Source organism: Homo sapiens, chromosome 10 (assembly GCF_000001405.40).
Source record: "Homo sapiens chromosome 10, GRCh38.p14 Primary Assembly".
Classification (NCBI taxonomy): Eukaryota; Metazoa; Chordata; class Mammalia; order Primates; family Hominidae; genus Homo; species Homo sapiens.
The window spans coordinates 7,548,385-7,573,214 of record NC_000010.11 but is presented as its reverse complement, the minus strand read 5'-3'; the positions used below and the strand labels follow the sequence as shown (position 1 = coordinate 7,573,214).

Sequence of the window (24,830 nt, the reverse complement as noted above, 5' to 3'; positions counted from 1 at the left end):
TCTTCCTTCTCCCTTTTAGGACCTTTGCTCAAGAAGCCATACCAGCCAAGAATTAAAATCTCTAAAACATCAGGTAAAGCAAAGGATGCGGTTGTGTGTGGATTGAGAGTAAGAGATGTTTAAAAAGTGTAAAACCAGGCCAGGTGTACTGGCTCACGCCTGTAATCCCAGCACTTTGGGAGGCCGAGGTGGGTGTATTGCTTGAGGTCAGGAGTTCAAGACCAGCCTGGCCAACATGGTGAAACCTCGTCTCTACTAAAAATACAAAAATTAGCCAGGCATGGTGGCAGGGGCCTGTAGTTCCAGCTACTGGGGAGGCTGAGGCAGGAGAATCACTTGAACCTGGGAAGTTGAGGTTACAGTGAGCCGAGATTGTGCCACCACACTCTAGCCTGGACTACAAGAGTGAAACTCTGTCTCAAAAAAAAAAAAAAAAAAAAAAAGTGTAAAACCAAGAATTCCTTGAAGCCAGTTAAAAATACCAGCTCATTCAGCAATGTATCAAGCCCACAGTGTGAGGCAGAGCCTGAGAAGTGCAGCTGTTATGAAACCATCCCATAAACACCATGGAGATAGCACAGTCCCCAGGAAGCCTGGCAGGAAACCCGATGAGGCTGCAGTGAGCTATATTGCACCACCCAATAGATGGGTGGCAGAGGCACATTCTGACCCTCATTGAGTTTAGAAGACATTTGTTTTAGAGATCCGGAGCATGCATCCTTCCAGCCTCTGCTATCATAAACATAAAATGGTGCTACCAAAATAAAAATGTCTGGTGTGACAGGCAGGCTTTGTTTTTGTTTTCATTTTTTTCAGTTCGTGGCTTCAGAAGGGAAGAACAGATTTTTTCAAATGTCATGAAATTTCCTTTTGCCAGCATCCTGGAACTATAATAAAAATTCAGAGGAAAGAACAACCTATGACTGGGTTTTGTTCTGCTGTGTCCAGATCATCCTCTGGAAGTCTTGATTGTTGCCTTTCTGCTGCTGTGCTGTACGTGCAAGTTCCTAAAGCCAGGGACATCCCGGAGATGAGCTGTGGATATAGAGTCCGCACAGCCTGCGGGAGACAGAATGTAATTCCTTCCAACACACACACACAGGCTTTATGGAATGCCAGAAAAGCTTCCTCTTGGATGCTGCCTGGAGTAATGACTTTTTGACCCTCCCCTCTTTTTTGGAGCAAGCACTATCTTTCCTTGTAAAGAAATTTGGACAATTTGAGTAGAAATGGTGTGGTATGTGCACATAGAAACTCTCAGAAAACTGTCAGATGAGCTAGACAGTTGTCCTCTATCTCCATGGGTCCCGCATCCCAAGGATCGAACCAACAACAGATCAAAAATACGTGAAAAAGGAATTGCATCTGTATTGAATGTGTACGGACTTTTTTTCTTGTCTTTGTTCCTTAAACAATGTAGTGTAACAACTATTTACATCGCATCTCCTTTGCATTCATTATTATAAGTAAACTAGAGATGATTTAAAGTGTATAGAAAGGCTGCGTGCAGTGGCTAATGTCTGTAATCCCAGCACTTTGAGAGGCCGAGGCAGGTGGATCACCTGAGGTCAGGAGTTCGAGACCAGCCTGGCCAACGTGGTGAAACCCCATCTCTACTAAAAATACAATAATTAGCTGGGCATGGTGGTGCACGCCTGTAATCCCAGCTATTCGGGAGGCTGAGGCAGGAGAATCGCTTGAACCCAGGAGGCAGAGATTGCAGTGAACCGAGATTGCACCATTGCACTCCAGCCTGGGTGACAGAGTGAACCTCCGTCTCAAAAACAAAATAAATAAATAAGAATAAATTAAAAATAAAGTGTATGGAAGGCTGTGCGAAGGTTGTATACAGATACTACACTATTGTATGTCATGGACTTGAGGACGCGTGGATTTTAGTATCCGCGGGGGTCCTGGAACTAATCCCCCATGGACACCAAGAGACAACTGCGTGCATGCCTGAAAAATGCCAGCAATGTGGATGAGAACTTTGATCTCCTCTGGGGGTCAGTTTTTCCCCATCAGCAAAAGACCAGCACCTTGAATTTCTTCATATGTTGCAATTTTCAGGGAAGTTGAGGCACTTCCCAGGGAGAGCAGCCAGATCCTCTCAAGGGCCCGTGTCAGGGATGCTGGGGCAGAAAGGGTTTCTCAGCAGTCAATGCAGGGATGTTAGTTTGCTGCAGCTTAAAAAGAGTGGACTCTGCCTGGCCCCTGCCTACACCGTGCACAGCGTGCATGCAGACATGTCCATGTGCACAGAAGGCAGAGGGGCATTTGAGAAACAAGTTGTAGGCCGGTGTGGTGGCTCACGCCTGAAATCCCAGCACTTTGGGAGGCTGAGGTGGGTGGAATGCTTGAGCCCAGGAGTTTGAGACCAGCCTGGGCAACATAGTGAGACCCTGTCCCTACAAAAAATAAAAAATTAGCCTGGCATGGTGGCACGTGCCTGTAGTCCCAGCTACTCAGGAGGCTGAGGTGGGAGGACCGTTTGAGCCCAGGAGTTTGAGGCTGCAGTGAGCTCTGATTGCACCACTGTACTCCAGCCTGGTCAACAGAGTGGGACCCTGTCTCAAAAATAAATAAAATAAACAAATTGCACTTGGAATATAAATTAGAGAGAAGGTAAATCTCCAATCTGGTAAGAGAATTGATATAGATTCTCAAGAAATCTTCTGTCTGTATAATAAAAGGCAAGGCTGTTCACCTTTAACAGAGGTGAAAATGAGGAGAACAGATAAGAACTGTCAGCTGAACTTTGCGGTCTCATCTGTGGACAGAAATTTCAGAGCAGTGAAGTCGGAGTGACCCAAAGGAGGGGTTTCCGCCAGCACCCTGACTGTGCGCCTGGCCGCCTACTCGCATTTTGCTTCCCTTGCCTCTGCATCTAAGCTGGGCATGGCTCTCAGTGCCTGCGTGCAGGGGTGGCGTACAGCTGACGCTGCGAATGAGCCTGGGGTAGCCCATGGCTTCCTGGGAGAAGAAGCACCATAGATCTCCCATCATAGGGAGGAAAGTCCTCTGCATCTGTGCCATTAAAGGAGAAAGCAAATAGCAAGGGATGTCCCCCTGGGAAATGGAAGCATGGGGGCTGAGTACCAGTTGAAGGTGTGTGGGGATCTCTCTTTCCTTCTCCTCTCACCTCTCAAAGCTTAGTTGTCTAGACTGAGCTGAGGTGTGTTGAAAGGAGCATTATATTGGAATTTAGAAGACCTGAAGTCAAATGTTTACTGCAAACTCACTGGGTAATTCTGGGGAGTTGTTTCCCTCCCACTCATCTTCCTCATCTGGAAATTGAGGACACCTCCTTCCAGAATAGTTTTCAGGATTCAATAAAATAATTCATGAGAAAATAGAGAGTAGCACCTACACAAGGAAGGTACTGAATAAGTGTCTTTCTTTTTCTCTCCGTTTTCTTCTGCTCTGGCAGTGGATGGTGATCCCCACTTTGTTGTGGATTTCCCCCTGAGCAGACTCACCGTGTGCTTCAACATTGATGGGCAGCCCGGGGACATCCTCAGGCTGGTCTCTGATCACAGGGACTCTGGTAAGTTCTACCTTCCGCTGCAGCATCTGGGCAAGGACCAGGTAGGTACTGCATCCCCCTCTGTTCTTCAGATGGATGTCCAGTGATCCAAGGGCCACCTTACAGACGCTCAGTGAGTATCGTCAGTGGTTAAGGGAAGCGCACTGCGCTCCTGGACTTATGCATCCGACTCCCTGCTTTATGACAAGTGCCGTGTGACCTTGGGCACATGCCTTGGGAGTTGTTTCCCTTGTAAAATGGAGATAGGAACACTCTCTTGGCCTCACAGAGCTAATATAAAATGGATCAAATGAAACTGGTTATGAAGTTGTTTTTTAAATGCTGAAGTGCTTTAGAAATCCGCTATGTAGGCTGGGCGCGGTGGCTCATGCCTGTAATCCCAGCACTTTGGGAGGCCGAGGCAGGTGGATCACCGGAGGTCAGGAGTTCAAGACCAGCTTGGCCAACATGGTGAAACCCCATCTCTACTAAAGTTACAAAAAAATTAGCCCGGCATAGTGGTGGGCACCTGAAATCCCAGCTACTCGGGAGGCTGAGGCAGGAGAATCGCTTGAACCTGGGAGGCAGAGGTTGCAGTGAGCTGAGATCATGCCACTGCACTCCAGCCTGGGTGAAAAGAGCAAGACTCTATCTCAAAAAAAAAAAAAAAAAAAAAAAGAAAAAGAAAAAAAGAAAAGAAAACCACAATATATTATTGTGTATTATTGTCATAGTGTCTATCCATTCAAAAGCTGTGATGCCGGGGAGGCCAAGGTTCTAAACTCATGTCAGTTTCTTGATGACTTACATGGGATGTCACATGTTAATCCACAGTTCTGTCTGTGTGCCGTGAACATGTATGGACAAAGGGGCTCTGTGGCCCCTGTTGGTCTGTAGAGGGCTTGGGTGAAAGAGATTAGCACAGAGAAAGCTTTTCAAGTTCGATGCAGGTAACAAACCATGTCCAGCTCTGTGAGGACAAGCTTTGGAGTGGGCACCCCGGCACTTCCTCACTGCTGAGAACGTGTCTTGGAATGTTGGGTTGCACAGGGTCCCCCAGCAGGTGATATGTGTGATGCAATTATGTAGAGTTTGATCCTGGGGTTCCTTCAACACATGTTTTCTTGTGGGACTTTATAGCCTCAGAGCCAAATCTCTACTGTTTCTTATTTCAAAGGGCTCAGGAGCAAGATAGGGGCCTAACTGTATATGTCCTTGGAAATACCTCCTATTCTGGGAGCAGTTCCCATGGTTTCTGTCTTCAGCGAGATGTCCGTGGTGGGAACTCAGCCTGAAAATGCTTAGAACTTTGAGGCTGGAAGAGCATAGGCTCTTCTCATGCTGGGATTTCTCCTCTCCCCTGACCCCTTGCCCCAGAGAAGGCCCTTTTTTCCTTGAATGTCTAAGAAGTTTTATTGGGAAGATTACTGGGAAGATTGTTCTCAAAGCAGAGAAAACAAGAGTTAATTATATAGCAATCTTTTCTTATTGCAAATTGCTGCTTTGCCTGAGAGCAAAACACATTTAACATGCATCACCTAATTCAGCCCCAAACATCTCAAGTGCAATCGCCATCTGTTTGTTATTCAGCCAGACAGCACGGAACCCTGGGGCCTGGTTCACAGGCCTTGCTCAAGTCCAGAAAAGCCCCAGTGATGTTCATAATGATGAAGAAAAAAAAGGAGTTCTATTTCATAGCAGTTTACAACTTACACACATGCTACCTTCTGGGATCCTCACAAAAATTCTGTTAGGTTTTCCATCTGTCCATCCATTTTACAGATAAGGAAATTGAGGCAGGGTTTTTGTTTTTTTGAGATGTAGTTTCACTCTGTTGCCTAGGCTGCAGTGAAGTGGCACCATCTCAGCTCACTGCAATCTCCACCTCCTGGGTTTAAGTGATTCTCCTGCCTCAGCTTCCCCAGAAACTGGGATTACAGGTTTTTTTTTGACTTGTCTAAGGACAAACACCTAAGTGGAAGAACTTGAGTTTTTGGACAAAAACAAAACAAAAAACAACAACTAAGTTTACATTCTCCCACACTGCTCAGTGGCATCATAAGATGTCTGAGCAAACTATTGCAAGGACAGAAAACCAAACACCGCATGTTCTCACTCATAGGTGGGAATTGAACAATGAGAACACTTGGACACAGGGTGGGGAACATCACATACCAGGGCCTGTCGTGGGGTCAGGGTAGGGGGGCGGGATAGCATGAGGAGATATACCTAATGTAAATGACGAGTTAATGGGTGCAGCACACCAACAGGGCACATGTATACATATGTAACAAACCTGCACGTTGGGCACATGTACTCTAAAACCTAAAGTATAATAATAATAATAATAATAATAATAATAATAATAAAAGATGTCCGAATTAGGATCAGCAGCCTCTGGTAGGTACAAAATATGTATCAGGGTCATATAAGAGTTCTTATCACTACAGCCACACTGGAAGGAAACCAGACGAACATGGTAAGCTGTGTGTAGATGCACAAATACTTAGCTTCATGCCTCCATCTACGATATCTTGACCCAAAACTACATCCTCTCTCCCCTATCCCAACATACTGGTCAGACAACAGTAAAAAATCCGCACATAACTTTACGCATTCCCTCATTTGTTCACTCACTTGGTGACCACTGAGTGACCTCTGTGTGTAAGTCAGACATGTTTTTGGTACTAGAGATACAAAGATAAGCCCAAAGGAGGAGGGAAGTTCTAACTTGATGCGTTGGGCAGGGATAGATTTTCTTTTCTTTTCTTCTTCTTCTTCTTCTTCTTCTTCTTCTTCTTCTTCTTCTTCTTCTTCTTCTTCTTCTTCTTCTTCTTCTTCTTCCTCTTCCTCTTCCTCTTCCTCTTCCTCTTCCTCTTCCTCTTCCTCTTCTTCTTCTTCTTTCTTCTTTCTTCTTTCTTCTTTCTTCTTCTTCTTCTTCTTCTTCTTTTTTTTTTTTTTTTTAATGAGATAGGATCTCACTCTGTAGCCCAGGGTAGACTGCAGTGGTGCAATCACAGATCACTGCAGCCTTGAACTCCTGGCCTCAAGGGAACTCCTGGGCTCAAGTGAACTAGCTGGGACTACAGGCTTGCACCACTATGCTCAGCTAATTGTTTATTTTTAGTAGAGATGGGGTCTCTGTGTTGCCCAGGCTGGTCTTGAACTCCTGGACTCAGGCAATCCACCTGCCCTGGCCTTCTAAGTGCTGGGATTACAGGTGTGAGCCACCACTCCTGGTCAGATTTTCTAACCTTCTTCTTTTCCCCTTGGCCTTTGAGGTGTCACAGTGAACGGAGAGTTAATTGGGGCACCCGCCCCTCCAAATGGCCACAAGAAACAGCGCACTTACTTGCGCACTATCACCATCCTCATCAACAAGCCAGAGAGATCTTATCTCGAGATCACACCGAGCAGAGTCATCTTGGATGGTGGGGACAGACTGGTGCTCCCCTGCAACCAGAGTGTGGTGGTGGGGAGCTGGGGGCTGGAGGTGTCCGTGTCTGCCAACGCCAATGTCACCGTCACCATCCAGGGCTCCATAGCCTTTGTCATCCTCATCCACCTCTACAAAAAGCCGGCGCCCTTCCAGCGACACCACCTGGGTTTCTACATTGCCAACAGCGAGGGCCTTTCCAGCAACTGCCACGGACTGCTGGGTAGGAAGCTGCGCTCTCCTCACGCTGGGCATAGAGGGCAGAGTTACATTTCCCAAGCAAAGCTGATATTGCCAACACCTTTCGTTTGATTGAGAAATTCAATAGGAATGTGGTTTTCATTATATATACAGTCCGCATATGTATGTATGTATGTGTGTGTGTACATATATATAGTCTATACATATATACATATACATAATGTATTATATACTATACATATATATGTATATATGTATTATATATAGTCTGTATGTATGCATATGTGTACATGCAGACTGCATATGTGTATATAGTCTCTCTATATAAATACATAATATATATTATATATGCAGTCTGTATATGTATGTGTATATGGTCTGTATATGTATGTGTGTGTATATATATACAGTCTATACATATATACATATACATAATGTATTATATATTATAAATATACATGTATATATGTATTATATATACCGTCTGTATGTATATATGTATACACAGACTGATAAGTATGTATATATACAGTCTATATATGCACACATATACATAATATATAATCAGTCTGTATATGTACATATGTATGTCTGTGTGTATATATACACAGTCTATGTGTATATATGTATGTATACTGTCTATGTATGTGTGCATGATATGTGTGTATATATACATACATAGTCTGTGTATGTATATATATATGTATACCATCTTTGTATGTGTGATGTGTGTGTGTATATATATATACAGTCTGTATGTATGGTGTGTGTATATATGTACAGTCTGTGTATATGTGTATATGTATGTATACACTCTGTGTATATATGTATGTATGATGTGTGTGTATGTGTGTGTATATATATATATATAGCCTGTGTATGTATGTGTGTTTATATATACAGTCTGTATGTATGTATGGTGTGTGTATATATACACAGTCTGTATATGTATGTGTGTGTGTGTGTGTATATATATATATACAGTCTATGTGTGTATATATGTATATATATATACAGTCTATGTATGTATATATGTATATATGTAGGTATACAGTCTATATGTATGAACGTGTGTGTATATGTATATGTATGTATACAGTCTGTGTATGTATGGTGTGTGTATATATATATATATACACACACAGTCTGTATATGTATGTATGTGTGTGTGTATACATATACAGTCTGTGTATGTATGTATATATGTATGTATGTATACAGTCTATGGTGTGTGTGTGTATATATACACACAGTCTGTATATATGTGTGTGTGTACACATACACAGTCTGTGTATGTATGTACATATTATATATATTCACACCCACCGACACACACAGTCATGCCTTGCTTAATGACAGGGATACATTCTAATGGTCGTTAGGTGATTTGGTCATTACGTGACCATCTAGAATATCCTTACACAAACCTCTCTAGATAGTGTCGCATACTACCCACTCAGCTAGGCTATGTGGTGTCTCCTATTGCTCCCGGGCTGCAAACCTGTACAGCATGTGACTGCATGGACTACTGCAGGCAATTGCAACACGATGATAAGTATTTGTTCATCTAAACATATCTAGACATAGAAAAGGTACACTAAAAATATGCTATTATAATCTTATGGGACCACCATCATATTTTCAGTCCATCATTGATTAAAATGTCATGATGTGGTGCATGACTATATATGTAACATGAAAATTACATATGTAATATGAAAATTCGATTACTATATATGTAATATGAACATTAGATTACTACATATGTAATATGAAAATTAGATTCCTTCCTGGGCTTTGTGAGCTAGGAATGGGCTTTATAAACCAGTAGTTCTCTTTAGCCTTCTGGAAAAATGAATGAGGAATTAAAATGTAGTCACCTGAGGGTCCAGTTCCTTTGCTCTCAGCAAGAATACACAGACACGAGGCAGCCCTGCCCAGCGCCCAGCCTGAGCGACACCCCCACCGGGGGGGCACCCACGTGGCCGTGCCCAGCAGGCGGGCCATTCTACCCAGCTTTCTTCAACGTGTAATTTCATGTGGGCCCCTTGCCCAAAAATAAAGAGCAAGCCATTGTCAGGGTTCAGTTTAGTAGGCAGGATTTCCTGGCTCTTGAGCTGGCCGCGTTTCGTGGGGCCTGGCGGCCCAGCATGAGCTCCCCTTGCAGACACAGCTCTTTATTCCTGTGGCCTGAGCAGTGCTGCCATCTGACCAGGAGAGTCCTGAGGACGAGGGTCAGAGAGGATCTGAGCTGACTGCTTTCCACCCCCACCCGGCACAGACCTGAGACGGATAGAAAGGAGGCGGGCCTGTGACTGGGAAGAGGACAGAGAGAAGATGGAACACTACTTCCCTCTTCATATGCCCCGTCCTGTCCTCTGGACTCAGTAGGAGACCGTGGTTATCACTATGTGTAGGTTACACAACTTTCTAGTGTTAGCAGCTGGGAAGCTTCCAGCAGTCATGGGTAAATCCCACAATGTGGATAAATCCTCAGCTCTCTCCACCCTGCCCCCCAGAGCACATGTTCTTCCATGTCACTGGGAGAGTCCAGTCTCGGGCTGTGGCCAGTTGTAAGCCTTTCTGCCACTGATAGCTCTGAAGTTGGAGTTCAGCACGAGGTTTCTGCATTTGACTGAGACCCGATGCTTTTCCTTGTCCTCCCAGGTCAGTTCCTGAATCAGGATGCCAGACTCACAGAAGACCCTGCAGGGCCCAGCCAGAACCTCACTCACCCTCTGCTCCTTCAGGTGGGAGAGGGGCCTGAGGCCGTCCTAACAGTGAAAGGCCACCAAGTCCCAGTGGTCTGGAAGCAAAGGAAGATTTACAACGGGGAAGAGCAGATAGACTGCTGGTTTGCCAGGAACAATGCCGCCAAACTGATTGACGGGGAGTACAAGGATTACCTGGCATCCCATCCATTTGACACAGGGATGACACTTGGCCGGGGAATGTCCAGGGAGCTCTGAAGCTGGCAGCCTTAAAGATGCAAGTGCATGAAGGACAGTGATGTGGGGAGGCCGTGGGGCAGCTCTTTTCATGGCTTGTACACGCCTCAGCTCCTGGCAATTAGCTGGACTCCATGACCCACCCCTGGTGCAGCATAGATCCGACGTCTGTCTGGGCGAAGGGTAGGGGTGGGTAGGGGCGGGAAGCCTGAGTGCAAATGTCATTTCCCTCTACTGCCTCTTCCTGCCTCTCCCCACCCTGCCCACATCCACAGAGGGGAGAGAAGGGTCATAGCTAAATGCAACAAAGTCTGTATCTTGTCCCAACCTGCTTTTCTGTTCTGTTAGCATATCATAAAGTAAGCCTTTCTGGTGAAGGAAGGTTGCTATGAAACTTTTTTTCTTGGTGGAAATGGACAAGTTTAGGCACTCTGCTTTTTGCCTTACACTAATGCTTAGAAAGCTGTCTTTTCAGTGGTGTTGCAGCCCCCAGATGTGTGGCCAACCTCTGCTGCAAAGGAATCTCTTGCTGAGTCCAGGCCACCAATCAGGCAAATAGCCCATACATTTGATCGTTGTAAACCATGAAGTCTTTTCTTGCAAGACGTTTTTCTTCTGCTGTGGTATCTTGCCCTTAAAAATTAGTTTTCATTAAAAAGAAATTTGATTGAAAATAGAAACATCTACAGCTCAGATACTGATCTCTTTCTAATGGGCTTTGTAAACCACTTGACTTTGCTAATGGCTATTCTCCAATTTGTTCCAATAAGCTAAGGGCTTTTCATACACAGGACAACTCCATGTGGTTGATTTTACTGGCATGTCTTGGTGACGAAGAGTTGGCCAAGTGAATGATGCATCTTTTACTTGGAGCTCTCCAGCCTTTGTCATAGTTCCCAGACCTTTTTTCCTTGTGGTCATCCAGGAGGTGATCAATTACATGTGCACAGTGCTAGGACGGGAGGCAGAGCCGGCTCAGAGCAGGTCCACCAGCCCACCTATAGCAGGAAGCGTGTCGGTGCTTAGGAAATCTAGGACTTCCAGCTTCCCTCATGTCAGATAGAAAAAAAGTCAGGAAACCAGCTCGTGGACAGGGGCTTTGGTTCCAAAACTTGGACAAACCTGATGCCTTAAGGAAAAGGTTAAGATGAGAGGGGACTTCCAGAGTCAATGAACGTCACCCTTCAGCGGACGGATACCGGGAGCGCTTGGGCGAAACAGCAGAGAAAGAAAGACTGTGGTCGGGGAAGTGGAATGCTTCGATGCAGGCCAGAGTTCAAGGCTCTGGGGCTGGCCTCACAAGAGGCTTCTTCCACGGGGCTTGACACCAGAGCAGCCCCCGCGTGAAATGAGAAGGCATGCTTAGCACTGGGAGGAAAAGCTGAGTTAAGAAAATTCTTTATCATGTTTGCCTTCCCTGGGGAAACATTCAGGCAGTAAAATGACATCCACGTGTTCCTGTCGGACGCAGCGGCTTCGGGAACAAGTTAGCGCTGGGGGACTATCTGGGCTCGTCTCTCTCTGCTTCGTGAACCCACCACACCAGGGCCTGTCTGCTGTGCTATTTATTTGCCTTCCGTCTTCCCAACCTCAGCTGCCTGTATTCATGCCAGAGGTGCAAAGGCTGCCAGCCAGTGCTGCTGACAGATGCTTTCAGACTGTAGAGCTCAGAGAAAGGGAGCGGCAGCTAGAGGTAGCCAGGGAGCTGGCCAGGCTCCCCGGGGCCTTCCTATTATGTAAATCCCAGCTGGACAGACAGCCCTGGAGCCAGGTGGCCCTGTCCCCTGTGGAGCACTTGGAGCAGTGATCTGTTGTTCCAGGTGTAAGTCTCGACACTGCAGAAATGAGGACGTTATTAGGAAAGACCAGTTCCTACTGCCTGTGTTGCTACTTTAAGAGCTGAGAAAAACATTCCAATGAGCTATCCATAGCTAACTTGCTTGCTCAGAAAAACATAAGTAACAAAGTTGAGCTTTCATTTTTAAAAATTATATTTTACTTTAGAAAAATATCACCTTTTTTCTTCCTCTTCTTTACGTGTAGATCTTTTTTTTTTTTTTCAAATGGGGTCAGTACCTGAAAGCCCGAAACCCCATACCAAGCTTATAGTTAGGACCTTTGCATTTGATAAAAAAAAAATATAGTATTTTCTGTTGTCCAGAAAATCTTCCCAGATAGGGAAACTGAGGCAGAGAGTGCCGTGGAGTGGTTTTTGCCAAGTCATACAACATACTTAATGCAGGGCTACACTGAACCTCCAGAATCATTTTGTTTGCTTTGACCCTGTTTCACCATCTGGGCAATCATTTATTTTCCTTGAGCATTTATAAACCAGGGCGAGGGTTGTTCCAAAATGAGTAATTGAATGAGATGAAGAAATATGTCATAATTAGAGGAGATAAATCTCCTTGTTATCACAATAGTTAATGTGTCATGATCACTGACTAACTGGGACCTTGAACAAGTCAGCATCTCTGCCTTTCAAAATGAAGGAACATTGTTCTCTATCCTCCCCTGACCCCCGACGGCCCCATGCTAGGTGCACCATCTTCCTCCATTTGACTTTTTAATGCTTTACAACTTCAGGCTAAAGGGAGGGGATGTTGGGAGGAGAAACCATCACAAGATTCCCTCGGTGCCACAGCTGTGCTGAGGAGGCCGGGGACTGGGAATCGGAGTGGGCACCTCTGTGTTTCTCTAGGGAGTAACATTCAACATTTAATTGAATCGTGTGTCCTGATAGGTGGATTAGGAACAGGATTCATTCCTTTAACTTTAACTTTTGGCTAAACGACATGCCTTGGATTGAGTGTATATGTCTTCCCCAAATTCATATGTTGAAGCTTAAATCCTGAATGTGATGGTTCTTGGAATTGGGACCTTTGGAAGGTTATTGGGTCTTGAGGGCAGAGCCCTCACGAATGGGATTAAGGCCCTTATAAGAAGAGACATGGGGCCAGGTGCAGTGGCTCACACCTGTAATCCCAACATTTTGGGAGGCCGAGAAGGGTGGATCATGAGGTCAGGAGATGGAGACCATCCTGGCCAACATGGTGAAACCTCGTCTCTACTAAAAATACAAAAATTAGCTGGGCGTGGTGGTGCGTGCCTGTAGTTCCAGCTACTTGGGAGGCTGAGGCAGGAGAATCGCTTGAACCAGGCAGTCGGAACTTGTAGTGAGCCAAGATCACGCCACTGCACTCCAGCTGGAGTGACAGAGCCAAACTCCGTCAAAAAAAAACAAAACAAAACAAAAAAAAGACATGGGAGAGATGGTGTTTTTCCTCTCCACCACCTGGGGATACGATGAGAAGATGGCCACCTGCAAGCCAGGAAGACGGCCCTCACCAGACACCATGTCTGCTGGCACCTTGATCTTGGACCTCCCAGCCTCCAGAACTGTGAGAAATAAATGTGTTTTGTTTAAGCTACTCAAGTCTGTGGTATTCTTGTTAAGGCAGCCCAAGCTGACTAAGACACCAAATCATTCAAAACGTTAATTCTTTTTCTGTTCTTTAAGCTTCCCAGAATGTACACAAACAATGCTGTTATTAAAATTTAAAGGACTCTTGGAACTGTAGGACATGATCCAGCTAAAATAAATAACAAATAACACAGCTAAGCAAATACTTATAAATGTAGCTTTAAATATTTATTTTAGTTTTAAATAATTAGTGGGGTACGAGACAGTTCACATTCAAGAGACATTTTACTTAGACAAAAAATTTATAAGAGAACGATGCATAAAAACAAACAACATATTGGTCTGTTTATTTTTCTAAGGGAAAATGGAATTGGAGCTGTTGAGAATAAAACTTGAAGAATCTAACTGCACTGCTTGTTTGTAGGCATTTCTGAATTACACACAATGATATGTAAATGGGGTAGCAACATGGGAAGAATAATGTTAACGTAATACAATTTATTGTAGAGAACAGCAAATTCACAGCAGTGATTCCTGTGCTCTTCTGAAACTGTCAGGTACACCGGAGGGTCTTAAACCTCTCAGTCCATTCCCGTCTGGGGATTCTAGCATCCCAAACTTTGATCATTATTGGGACCAGTACATTATTGGGTACTCTTTTGCACACACTTTGCCCACCGTCTTGACTGATGCTGCTTCCACTGGGCTCAGGGTCATTTCCCTCCTAGGTGCCATTTCTAACTCGTGGTTCTGGCACTCCTACCTCCGGTTCTGAGTGGTTTTACTGGATCGCGTTTAGATTTCGGTTGAGCTATATTACAAGCTGAACGGGACAACAGATGCTTAGAACCAAAACAGACATAGGACACAAAGGAGGCATCGCTGGTGGGCTGTGTTAAAGAGAAAACAAGTGAACAACTAATGTCAAGGACTCAAGTTGACTTATCTCTGCTTTTGGCATCTTCTGTGGCTTTAAAATGAAGGGACTGGCGTGGCAGCTCACACCTGTAATTCCAGCAGTTTGAGAGGCCAAGGCGGGTAGATCACTTGAGCTCAGGAGTTCGAGACCAGCCTGGGCAACATGGAAAAACCCTGTCTCTACAAAAAATACAAAAAAAAAATTAGCCAGGTGTGGCAGCATGCACCTGTAGTCCCAGTTACCCAGGAGGCTGCGGTGGGAGGATCACCTGAGACCAGGAGGTTGAGGTTGCAGGCACCTGTGATCATGCCACTGCATTCCAGCCTGGGTGATCAAGCAAAACCCTGTCTCAAAAAAATAAAGGAACTGGAGTAGGTAATATCTACAGTCCTGTGATGTTTATCTTCTGCCTTCAGACAAAGATGCTTCCTGAGCTGCCATGTGAAAAATGCTAAACTATTCATTCAGTGACTCCAGTATGTATTTAGTTCCAGTGTGTCAGGCCCAGGGATTCCAAGGAAAACAAAGTTCATGCCTCTCTGGAATCCTTAGTTTAGAACAGGATGTTGAAAGAATGCCCAGCCTGGGCAACATAGGGAGACTGCATCTCTAGAGAAATTTTAAAAATAAGCTGGGCGTGGTGATGCGTGCCTGTAGTCCCAGCTACTTGGGAGGCTGGGGTGGGAGGACTGCTTGAGCCCGGAGGTTGAGGCTGCAGTGAGCTGAGATTGCACCACTACACTCCAACCTGGGCAACAGAGTGACACTCTGTCTTAAAAATAAATAAATAAATAAGAAAGAATGCAAAGATAGAAAGAGTGTGATCAATACTGTAAGGAAACTTGCCGAGGGCTATCTGAGCTCAGAGGAGGGACAACTATGGAGGCAGGAAGGGGGTTAGGAAACCACTCCAAAGATGGAGAGAGAGTTCAGTCAGCTGCAAGGAAGAGGAGCGTGGACAGAGGCAGTCACATGTTTCCTAGGATGTCACGCAGCCAGGAACTTCTCCCACATTGTGGCAATCTTCTTATTCCGTACAGTTTCAGGCATGGCGCTGGTGAGTTGGTGGCCTCTGAGAACCCACCATGGAAAATGCTTGGTGAAACCCTTGCCCCATGCCAGATGGGTCCCCAGTGTGGCATCCACATCCCCTCTCCCTCTCTTGAGATACGAAGAATGCCTGGGGACAGTCAGAGAACCCTGCCATGGTCATCCCACCCGCAGGGCTCCTGCCAGCGTTGGACAGAACTGATCGTTTTTTTTTTCCCATGCATTGCCTCGATGGCCACTCCATTCCCCTTCAGCTGCCTATGCCACTGAGCCCCGTAGCTTCCCTCCATGGCCCTGCCTCCTATTTTGCTGAGAAATCTGAGGCAGGAACTCCTCCTTCCTTTACTGTTTCTCGTATCAAAGGGTCTGTGTCTTTGCGTCGCTCTATCAGCTGGTACCCCCTTCCTTCCAAGCATAGCTGTCACCCTCCACTCTGGATCCCCTCTTTTCCCACATCCTCAAGTGGTTGCCTCATTTATTCCCTCTAGATTCTTGTTTTCCACCAGGTGCTTTTCTCTTGATTTCAGATATGGTTCCAAAAATGTCCTCTAGTCTGAAACTATTGTCCCTTGCTTGCACTCCCTTGGGGCTTCTACCTTCTCTTTTATTTCCTTGTTGAATTTGCTCTAGTGGTTGGTATGTGAACCCTTATATTTTTTTCTGCCCTAGTCAGTTGCTTAAGTCATCAGATTCAGCTTCTGCCTTCACCCTATTAACAGAACCACATCTTAGACGTCACGTTGCCATCTCAATGTCCCCTCCAGCGATCAGTGCCTTCGGCGTCCACTACGTGACTCTGTTGAGTAGTTTGACTTTGTTTCTTTTGTTTCTTCTGTTTCTTTTGTAGAGTGACTTTGTTTCTCTTTGATGAGATGCTGGATCCCTTTGCTTCTTTGGTGTGAATCTTTTTTTTTTTTTTTTTTTTTTTTTTGAGACAGAGTCTTGCTCTGTCGCCCAGGCTGGAGTGCAGTGGTGTGATCTCGGCTCACTGCAAACTCTGCCTCCTGGGTTCAAGTGATTCTCATGCCTCAGCCTCCCGAGTAGCTGGGATTACAGGCATCTGCTACCACCACAGCTGGCTAATTTTGTATTTTTAGTAGAGACGCGGTTTCACCATGTTTGCCAGGCTGGTCTAGAACTCCTTACCTCAGGTGATCTGCCCGCCTTGGTTTTTTAAAATCTTTCCTAGTCTCTTTTGATGAATTTCTTTCTTCCTACCAACCTGTAGGCGTACCCTAAGGTTTCTCGTTGGTACCCTGAACTTTCCCCCTTAGTGATCTCATCCATGTCTTGGTTTCCACATCTGCCTCTGCACACACTGGTGGCTCTGAACATACGTTTGCAGTGCTGATTTCTTTCAAAGTCACTTCCCTTTAGCTATTCTGGAATCATCCCAAATTTAGGAGTTAAAGCAAACTTTCTATCTTCAAAGTGACTATATTTATATTATAGATATTTGAGGTTGGGGATCTGGGAGCCAAAAGGAAGGAGACATTCCAGCACCATCCTTTTCTATTTTGGACATTGCAAATAAAGGTGAAAAAATGCCTCTCTCTAATATATATATATATATATATATATATATATATATATATATATATACACACACACATATATATATATATATATACATATATATATATGGTATATTTCATAGGAAGCCAACCCAAATTAATTTTTATTGACACAGTGTTCTTCCTGAAAATTCTCTGTTAATCATACTATGTCCTCAGAACAACAGCTGTGTTTGTGCAAGAGAAGACCCAGTGTTCTGATGGCTTCCTGGGAATTTCTGGTTATATAAGTTGAAAATCACATGTACTAAGTTCATTGACATGCCCATGAAATAACTTCATTGAACTATGAGTACAAACTTCATTGTACATGCTTTTGTGTGTGCTTTTTAAAAAAATAACAAATTTTATTAGAAGTGAGTAAGGGCAGTGTAGAAAATACAGTGCTGCAGATATTTGAGTGTGAATGAAGGCCTGAATGCTTCATTCTTTATTTGGTTCAATTTCCCACTGGAAGTCTGCCTCCTATTTCTTGACTCTTTCAGCCACGAAGTTAACATAAGCCCTATAAATGTTAAAAAGTAAAATGTCACACAAGGCCGAAGTCCAGCTTCTATTCTGAAGGTCCACAGGGAAAGTTACAGAAGAAAACAAACCTTTCTATGGGAAGGCAAAAGCAATTTAAGGCTCAGCTCAAAACTGAAGAGGGCTGGAGCCTGGGAATATTCTAGAAGCTGAAAGTCCTAGAACTTGTAGGCAACTGCTTATCCTTTCAATTTCTTCATCTGTCTGCCCGGGAAACTAAAATGGAGCACTTTGGAAATTAAATGATGAAGATAACATAGAATAAAACTGTGTGTATTACTGAATGACAATAGCATTCCAAATTGTTCATGCAATTTTCCCAGCAGAGAAAATGCTTCAAAACAAACACATTCACTTATTCATTCATTCAACTAATCTTCAGTGGGCACTGACTATGTACAGGGGACAGAGCATGCCTCCTGTCCTTCCCTGGAGATAATGTTTTGTGTAATTAGTTATGATAAGAGGTGGACAGCTGCCTGTCTTAGAGAGGTTCTGGTAAAAGGATGGGGGCTTCAAAAGGAAGAAATCGTGCTATCTGGGGTGCAAGAGGAGTTGGCCTTGGATCTGGGTCTTACAGCACCGGCCAGCATTGGAGGGGAAACATGTCGGGGAGCATTTAATCTAATAACTTTTTTCTTTATCATAAAAATTCTCAGCCTGGCACGGTGGCTCACGCCTGTAATCCCAGCACTTTGGGAGGCTGAGGCGGGTGGATCACGAGGTCAAGAGATCGAGACCATCCTGGCCAACATGGTGAACCCCCGTCTCTACTAAAAATACAAAAAAATTAACTGGGCGTGGTGGCGCATGCCTGTAATCCCAGCTACTTGGGAGGCTGAAGGAGGAGAATTGCTTGAACCTGGGAGGCAGAGGTTGCAGTGAGCCGAGATGGCGCCACTGCACTCCAGCCTGGAGACAGAGCGAGACTCCGTCTCAAGCAACGACAACAACAACAACAAAAACTCTCCAAGGAAAAGGAAAATAAATTGTATAGAAGAGTCATCCCCTGCCCTCATCACAGAGCTAATGTGCGGGATCAGGCTGGCCTGGCTGCGAGGCCCTTCCTCTTTTCATGACTCTGGGAGGCTCTGGACTAAACAAGAGCAGCGTCTACAGTGACTGCCGTGGGCTGCTGCACCTGAGTCCAGGATCCCACTTGTTTCTACCCCCTGCGCATCCCAGGCCTTTCTTCACCTCCAGAAGCAGTGGTTTCGGAGCTGCCTATTTCTGTCTAAAAGTGGCGTCTGCAGTAGCCCATGTTGTGCTGCTTCTGCCAATGGCCAGGATGGGCGTGGGCAGGGACTCCTGATGGGTGGACGTGACGGGGCCACCTTAGGAAGTCCACCAGCCCCTTCCAAGTGTTCATTGTTGGACAAGGCTTTTTTTTTTTTTTTTGGAAAGAAACCTGGCTAGAGAGGGGGAGAGTGTGGGGCCCACAGTGGAAAAGCCTTGGCCGGGCAGCCAGGCCTCTCTGCTGGGCCCACGTTTGCTCTCTTGATGCCTCAGACCCCAGGAAGCCCAGAGACCACAGGTCGGCTCCAAGTTCATGTTTCTCCCTTTTCCTTAGACATGACATCCTCGGAAACATCTCGTAATCAGCAGCTTTCGGAAGTAAATCATTGTGAGCTGGAAGGACGGGAAACATATCTGGGGAGCTGGGGTTGGGGGTGGAGAGCCTCTTGGGGGGCAGAGGTGGGTTGGGCACCACTCCACAACTGGGGATGAAATAAAGAGAGACAGAACTCACATGCATATGAGTGGCTTTTCCATGTCACCTGTCTTCTTGGGAGAGGCCTAGACAATGCAGCTGTGGATGTGATTAATGAGCCACCGGCCACACCTGGCACAGCGGTGCAGGTGGAAGCCAGGGAACTTCCCTTTCTCCCTGTCAGTTATCCTGCGCTGTGCTGGGAACACGCTCTGGTTTCTGCAGAGGAGATAAGCAAGTCCTGGGGAGAACATGGACGTTTGGCAGCCAGCGAGAAAGAAAGGAGGGGAAGGTAGACTCGAGATGGGGCCTGGGCACGGCGGATGAGCTCCTGTGGGTTGGAGAGAAGGGGAGTGGCGGGGGGCTGGGGTTGCCGCAGAGAACCCAGGACCCAGAGGGGATGTCGTTTTGGAAAAGTTTCCAAGTCATTCTTCCTCTGCACATCCTCGGTCAGCAGCGCTACCCAGGTGAACGAAGCCACTTCGAATCCAGCACTGCCCATCCTTGGGAAGGGTCATTAGTTTCTGAGGTTCACTGAGGATCGCTGGAAGCCTCCTGAGCTGAGTTTCCCCTGCGAGGCGGGTGCCCCCCACCCTGTGCCCTACTCGTTTGTTCTTTTGTGCCCGTTGTCTGGGAGATGGTGTAGATCCCATACCTCTGGCCTGCTGGCTCATGTCGACCAGGGCACCTGGTACTGGAGGGCAGAGTGCAGGGCAAAGGGCGATGGAAGGAAGGAGTGGCAAGTTACAGATCACCAGGGAGCAGGAGGCGAAGGGACCCTGGTAGATGAGATGCTTAGCCCCTTTGAGTGCTGGACACTTTGAGCATCTGATGAAATATGAAATAGAGGGACTCCTCTCTCTCTCTCTCTCTCACAATCTCTGTCTCTTTGAGATATGCCCTTCCTCTGTTGCCCACGCTGGAGTGCAATGGTGTGAGCATGGCTCACTGCAGCCTTGACCTCTGGGACTCAGTGGATCCTCGTGTCTCAGTCTCCAAGGTAGCTGTGACCCCAGGTGTGTGCTATCATGCCCAGCTAATTTTTGTTTTGTTTGTTTTTTTGTAGAGATGGGGTCTTACTGTGTTGCTCAGGCTGGTCTTGAACTCCTGGCCTTAAGTGATCTGCCTGCCTCGGCCTCCCAAAGTGCTGGGATTACAGGCATGAGCCACTGTGCCCAGCCAACTCTCTTTCTTAAAAAAAGAAAAAGGCTAACTCCCAGGTGGAGGTCCTGAGCCACGCGATCTCCTTCTAAAGCCTCCACCATGGAGGGTGCTTTGCTGCTGTGTCCTGGGGCAGCCAGGCTGTCCTTCCAAGCCTCCAGCCCTCAGGCTATGACTTAGGCCTAATTCATCCAGCTGGGGGCCTGGAATGACCCGCACTCCCGGGTTACTGCCAACGGCCCACCCCTTGCAGTGAGCAGAGTTTTGGGCACAATATCCAGGATTGTTTTTTGGTTTCTGACCTCCTGTGGCCACAACTCTTCAATTACTTCCCTCTGCAGGACTTTAACGTTTAGGTCAAAGCAGTTCTCAAGACCTCCCTGTGAGGTCAGGGAGAGGCGAGCCTATTCTTTCTTGCTTAGGGGGTCACAGGGAAGCTCACACCCAGTGACCCGCCGCTGACCACACGGTCAGCACAGAGCCAGGCCTGAGTGATTGGCTCCCAGCTGGGACCAATTGCTTCAGGTCCTCCCTGAAGCAAACACCTTGGCGCCCCTCTTTGGCGGGGCCTGCTAGGGTTACAGCTGAACAGACGGGTAAGAAAGGGAGAGAGAAACCCAGCAGGTTAAGTACAGCCAATTCCTGTCCCCATGCGGTAGGGCTTGGCTGCTGTCGCCACTGAGAGCTGGGAAAGAATGGAGCTCATTATGTAGGGGGTGGAGGGATGGCCCAGGGAGGTGTTAAGCAGAGAAAACGGTTGAAATTCAAGTCGAGGCGATGCTGCCAGCCTGGCGCCTGCTGTGAGACAGTCCGATGAACTCTGATAAACCCGGAGGCACCTTTTCCACACCACGGTCCAGCCTGGAAACTATAGCACCCTGTGGAGAGGGAAGGGCGTGCGGGGAGGGGTGCTGGGAGATGGGGTGGCGGGCTGTGTTGCTGGAGAGGCAGGAGAAGAGGGAGGCCCAATTTGCTCAGGACCCCCGAGGTTGGGCGGCTCAGCTTCTGGCTCTGGGGACTTGGGGGGTCTGCAGGGGGAGGCCGCAGCATGCAGGGCCCTGATGCAGGGGTGAGAAGAGGAGGGAAGGAGTGGGCCTGGCAGCAGGGAGGGCCCAGGTCCAGGATGCCACTCATTGAACCGCTGTGGCCATGAGCAGAGCCCTGGGATTGGCCCCTGTGCTGGGACATTGCTGGCTGCCGACCAACCCCCAGACAAGCTGGTGAGAAACATCCTCTTGGGAGATCGCAGCCAGCCTCACAAATGCCCCATATTTCCCTTTCTAGGCCTGGAGATTGGGGTGACAGCCCTTATTGGTGTCACTGAAACGTGTGTGGTTAATCTCAGTCCTTGGGATCCACATAAAACCACGTGAATGTGCTTCTCATCTAATAAATTATATATGAAGGATGCTGAAAGCAGGGCCTTGGAGAGAGATGTGTGTACCCGTGTTCACAGTTCACAGCAGCATTCCTCCAGTTACCAAGAGGTGGAAGCAACCCAAAGTCCATCGATGGAAAAATGGTAAGCAGATATAGTATGAATAGATACAGACAGTGGGATATTATTCTGCTTTAGAAAGGAAGGAAATTCTGATACATACCACCGCATGGATGCACCTTGAGGACATTATGCTGAGTGAAATGAGCCAGTCACAAAAGACAAATATTGCATGATTCTATGTATGTGAGGTCCCTAGAGTAGTAATAGAGACAGAAAGTGCAATGGTGGTGGCCAGTGATTTCAAGGAGAGCGGAAAGGAGAGTTACTGTTTAATGGGTGCAGAGTTTCCATTTTAAATGACAAAAAGTTCTAGAGATATGTGGCACAACAGTGTGAATTGCTCAATGCTACTGAACTGTACACTTAAAAATGGTTCAGATGGGCCAGGTGTGTACAGGCTCACACCTGTAATCCCAGAACTTTGGGAGGCCCAGGTGGGCAGATCACCTGAGATCAGGAGCTCAAGACCAGCCTGGACAACATGGCGAAACCCCCGTCTCTACAAAAATAGAAAAATTAGCTGGGCATGATGGTGGATACTTGTAATCCCAGCTACCTGGGAGGCTGAGGTGGGAGAATTGCTTGAACCCAGTAGGCGGAGGTTGCAGTGAGTCGAGATCGCGCCACTGCACTCCACAGAGTGAGACTGTCTCAAAAAAAAAAAAAAAAAAAAAGGTTAAGATGGTAAATTCTATGTTATATGGTTTTATTACAATAAAAAAGTGAGCATCATAGTGATAGTAAAATCTGACAAATTGCATGAGTGAAAATTACAGACAAAACCTATTTGTGAGTATTGATGCACTAACTACACTCAAAGAATAACATACAACAATGGTTAAAATGATAAACTTTATGTTGTGCATATTTTAGCACAATTTTAAAAAGCCTTCTGAGTTCTTTACTCTCTGACAAAAATCCTCAGAGGCTGAGCAGGACACAGGGAAGACGGCCAGGGAAATCCCAGACTGGCACTGCCAGAAGCTTCCAGCCCATTCCATCAGGGCACAGCCTGGGATGGGCTGGGTCCCCAGAGCTGTGCATGCTGCCAGGATGCTGAAGACACATGGTTCAGCTTGGCCCCTAGATGGTGACCATCTGTCTAGGCCCTCAGTAAGAGAAAGGGGACCCTCCATTCCTCAATGTGGGGGCCTTGATCCTTAAACAGGGGCTGTCTTTGTTTCCTGAGAGGCCAGAGGCAAAATGAAAAAGCACAAATGGATAACAGAACCCAAAATATAAATTCTGAAGGGCAACATCTAGTTTCTCTGTAGGATGGGACAGGGTAGGTCTTCTCTTCTCCTTCCTCTCCTGCTAATGAGATTCCCCTTATGAAATCCTTGCAAACTGCACCTGCTCCCATCCTTCTTAATAAGTCACCCGAATGATTGCACAGAAGCCATGTAGCATAATTTTTCAAATCTCTGCTTTTCTGATCCAGCCTAAAGGGCATGACTGGGTTGACACTCCAGTGAAGGCAAAGTTTCCACCACATGTGTCCCTGGGACCTCTCATTCTCATCTATAAACCCAGAACACTACGACCCCCCCTCCCACAGCAAGAAGCTAAACCTTGATGAAAAAATGTCTTAATAACTGGTCTTTGTCATCATTCAAAATAATCAAAATGGACCAAATGATGACCTGAACGTCAGATCATTGTATCAATAATTTTACATTTTTTCTTTTTTTAAAAAAAATTTTCTTTAAAATTTTTTTTTAAATTTTAAGTTCTGGGATACATGGGCTGAATGTGCAGGTTTGTTACATAGGTATACATGTGCCATGGTGGTTTGCTGCACCTATCAATCCATTATCTAGGTTTAACCCCTGCATGCATTAGGTATTTGTCCTAATGCTCTCCCTCCCCTTTCCCCCCATGTGGAACAAAAAAAGAGCCCTTATAGCCAAGATAATCCTAAGCAAAAAGAACAAAGCTGGAGGCATCATGCTACCTGACTATACTACATCAAACTATACTACAAGGCTACAGTAACCAAAAGAGCATGGTACTGGTATCAAAACAGACATATAGACCAATGGAACAGAACAGAGGCCTCAGAAATAACACCACACATCTATAACCATCTGATCTTTGACAAACCTGACATCTTTTCTTTTAAAAGAAAGATAGGAAGTTCCTGGATGGACATAGGTCTATGAGATGAGACCCACAAAATGTTTCTACTTCCAAAATTGCTCTAAAATTACAGTGCAAATATATCCTGCTTTCTATTACAATATTTCAACAATGAAACGGACTTTGGAAAATGTGAAAATGCTTTGTTCCTTGTGGGAGACCTTGAATGAGCACCCCTCATTAGGGGAGCTTCTGGGTGGGAATTACATGAAGCAGACGCCCCAAAGGTGGTGGGGAGAGAGAACAAACTCTGAAATACCACTCTGCTTCCAGTGGTAGCTGGGCTGATAGCCCTCTGTTGTCAATTACAAACAAAGCCCAGCTTGTATCCGATTGCAAAATAATACATATTCATTGTTAAAAACATGAAACCTTGGAAAATATAGACGGCCACAAAGAGTCTATTTCTTTTTAATTCAGTGTTTTATCTTCTTTGGGTTTTTTTTTTCCTTTGGAAAAACAAAAAAAGGTTTTCAAAAGAGCCCTATTTCCAGATTATCAATAAGGAATAAAAGACCTCTTCCGACAGTTTCAGGAAGCTATGCCAGGACACAGCAAGAAAGGTATTCTCAGAGGTGAGATTCAGGACATTTCACCAAAGTAGAAAAAGATTGGGCCCCCATAGTGCAATATGACTGGATTTTCTGCTTACTATGAAGGGAGCAGGATCCTACCCTCACAAGCGAACGTCTGTCCGACCCTCAGGAAAGATAAC

The 24,830-nt window shown here is 45.9% G+C and overlaps 1 protein-coding gene across 5 annotated transcripts in view, besides 2 other annotated features; it reads left to right on the top strand.

Annotated features, from left to right (window-relative positions):
* Positions 1-13,945, top strand: part of ITIH5 (inter-alpha-trypsin inhibitor heavy chain 5) — a 107,697-nt gene extending 93,752 nt beyond the window's left edge. For 3 of the 5 annotated variants that reach the window (NM_030569.7, XM_011519713.4, NM_032817.6), the window contains 4 exons: positions 20-73; positions 3,431-3,547; positions 6,808-7,185; positions 9,831-13,945. In NM_030569.7, the coding sequence (NP_085046.5) occupies positions 20-73; positions 3,431-3,547; positions 6,808-7,185; positions 9,831-10,132 (851 nt within the window). In that variant the 3' untranslated portion in view covers positions 10,133-13,945. Of the gene's footprint in view, positions 1-19; positions 74-816; positions 1,811-3,430; positions 3,548-6,807; positions 7,186-9,830 lie in introns of those variants that run through there. The other 2 variants (NM_001001851.3, XM_011519714.4) reach the window with 1 other exon arrangement.
* Positions 20,179-21,080: an enhancer, noted in NCBI's record as "NANOG-H3K27ac-H3K4me1 hESC enhancer chr10:7594097-7594998 (GRCh37/hg19 assembly coordinates)". NCBI's record gives its function as "activates a minimal SCP1, AML or CMV promoter by ChIP-STARR-seq in naive H9 embryonic stem cells {active_cell/tissue: H9 hESC(naive)}" and the evidence as "EXISTENCE:reporter gene assay evidence [ECO:0000049][PMID:30033119]".
* Positions 21,081-21,982: an enhancer, noted in NCBI's record as "NANOG-H3K27ac-H3K4me1 hESC enhancer chr10:7593195-7594096 (GRCh37/hg19 assembly coordinates)". NCBI's record gives its function as "activates a minimal SCP1, AML or CMV promoter by ChIP-STARR-seq in naive H9 embryonic stem cells {active_cell/tissue: H9 hESC(naive)}" and the evidence as "EXISTENCE:reporter gene assay evidence [ECO:0000049][PMID:30033119]".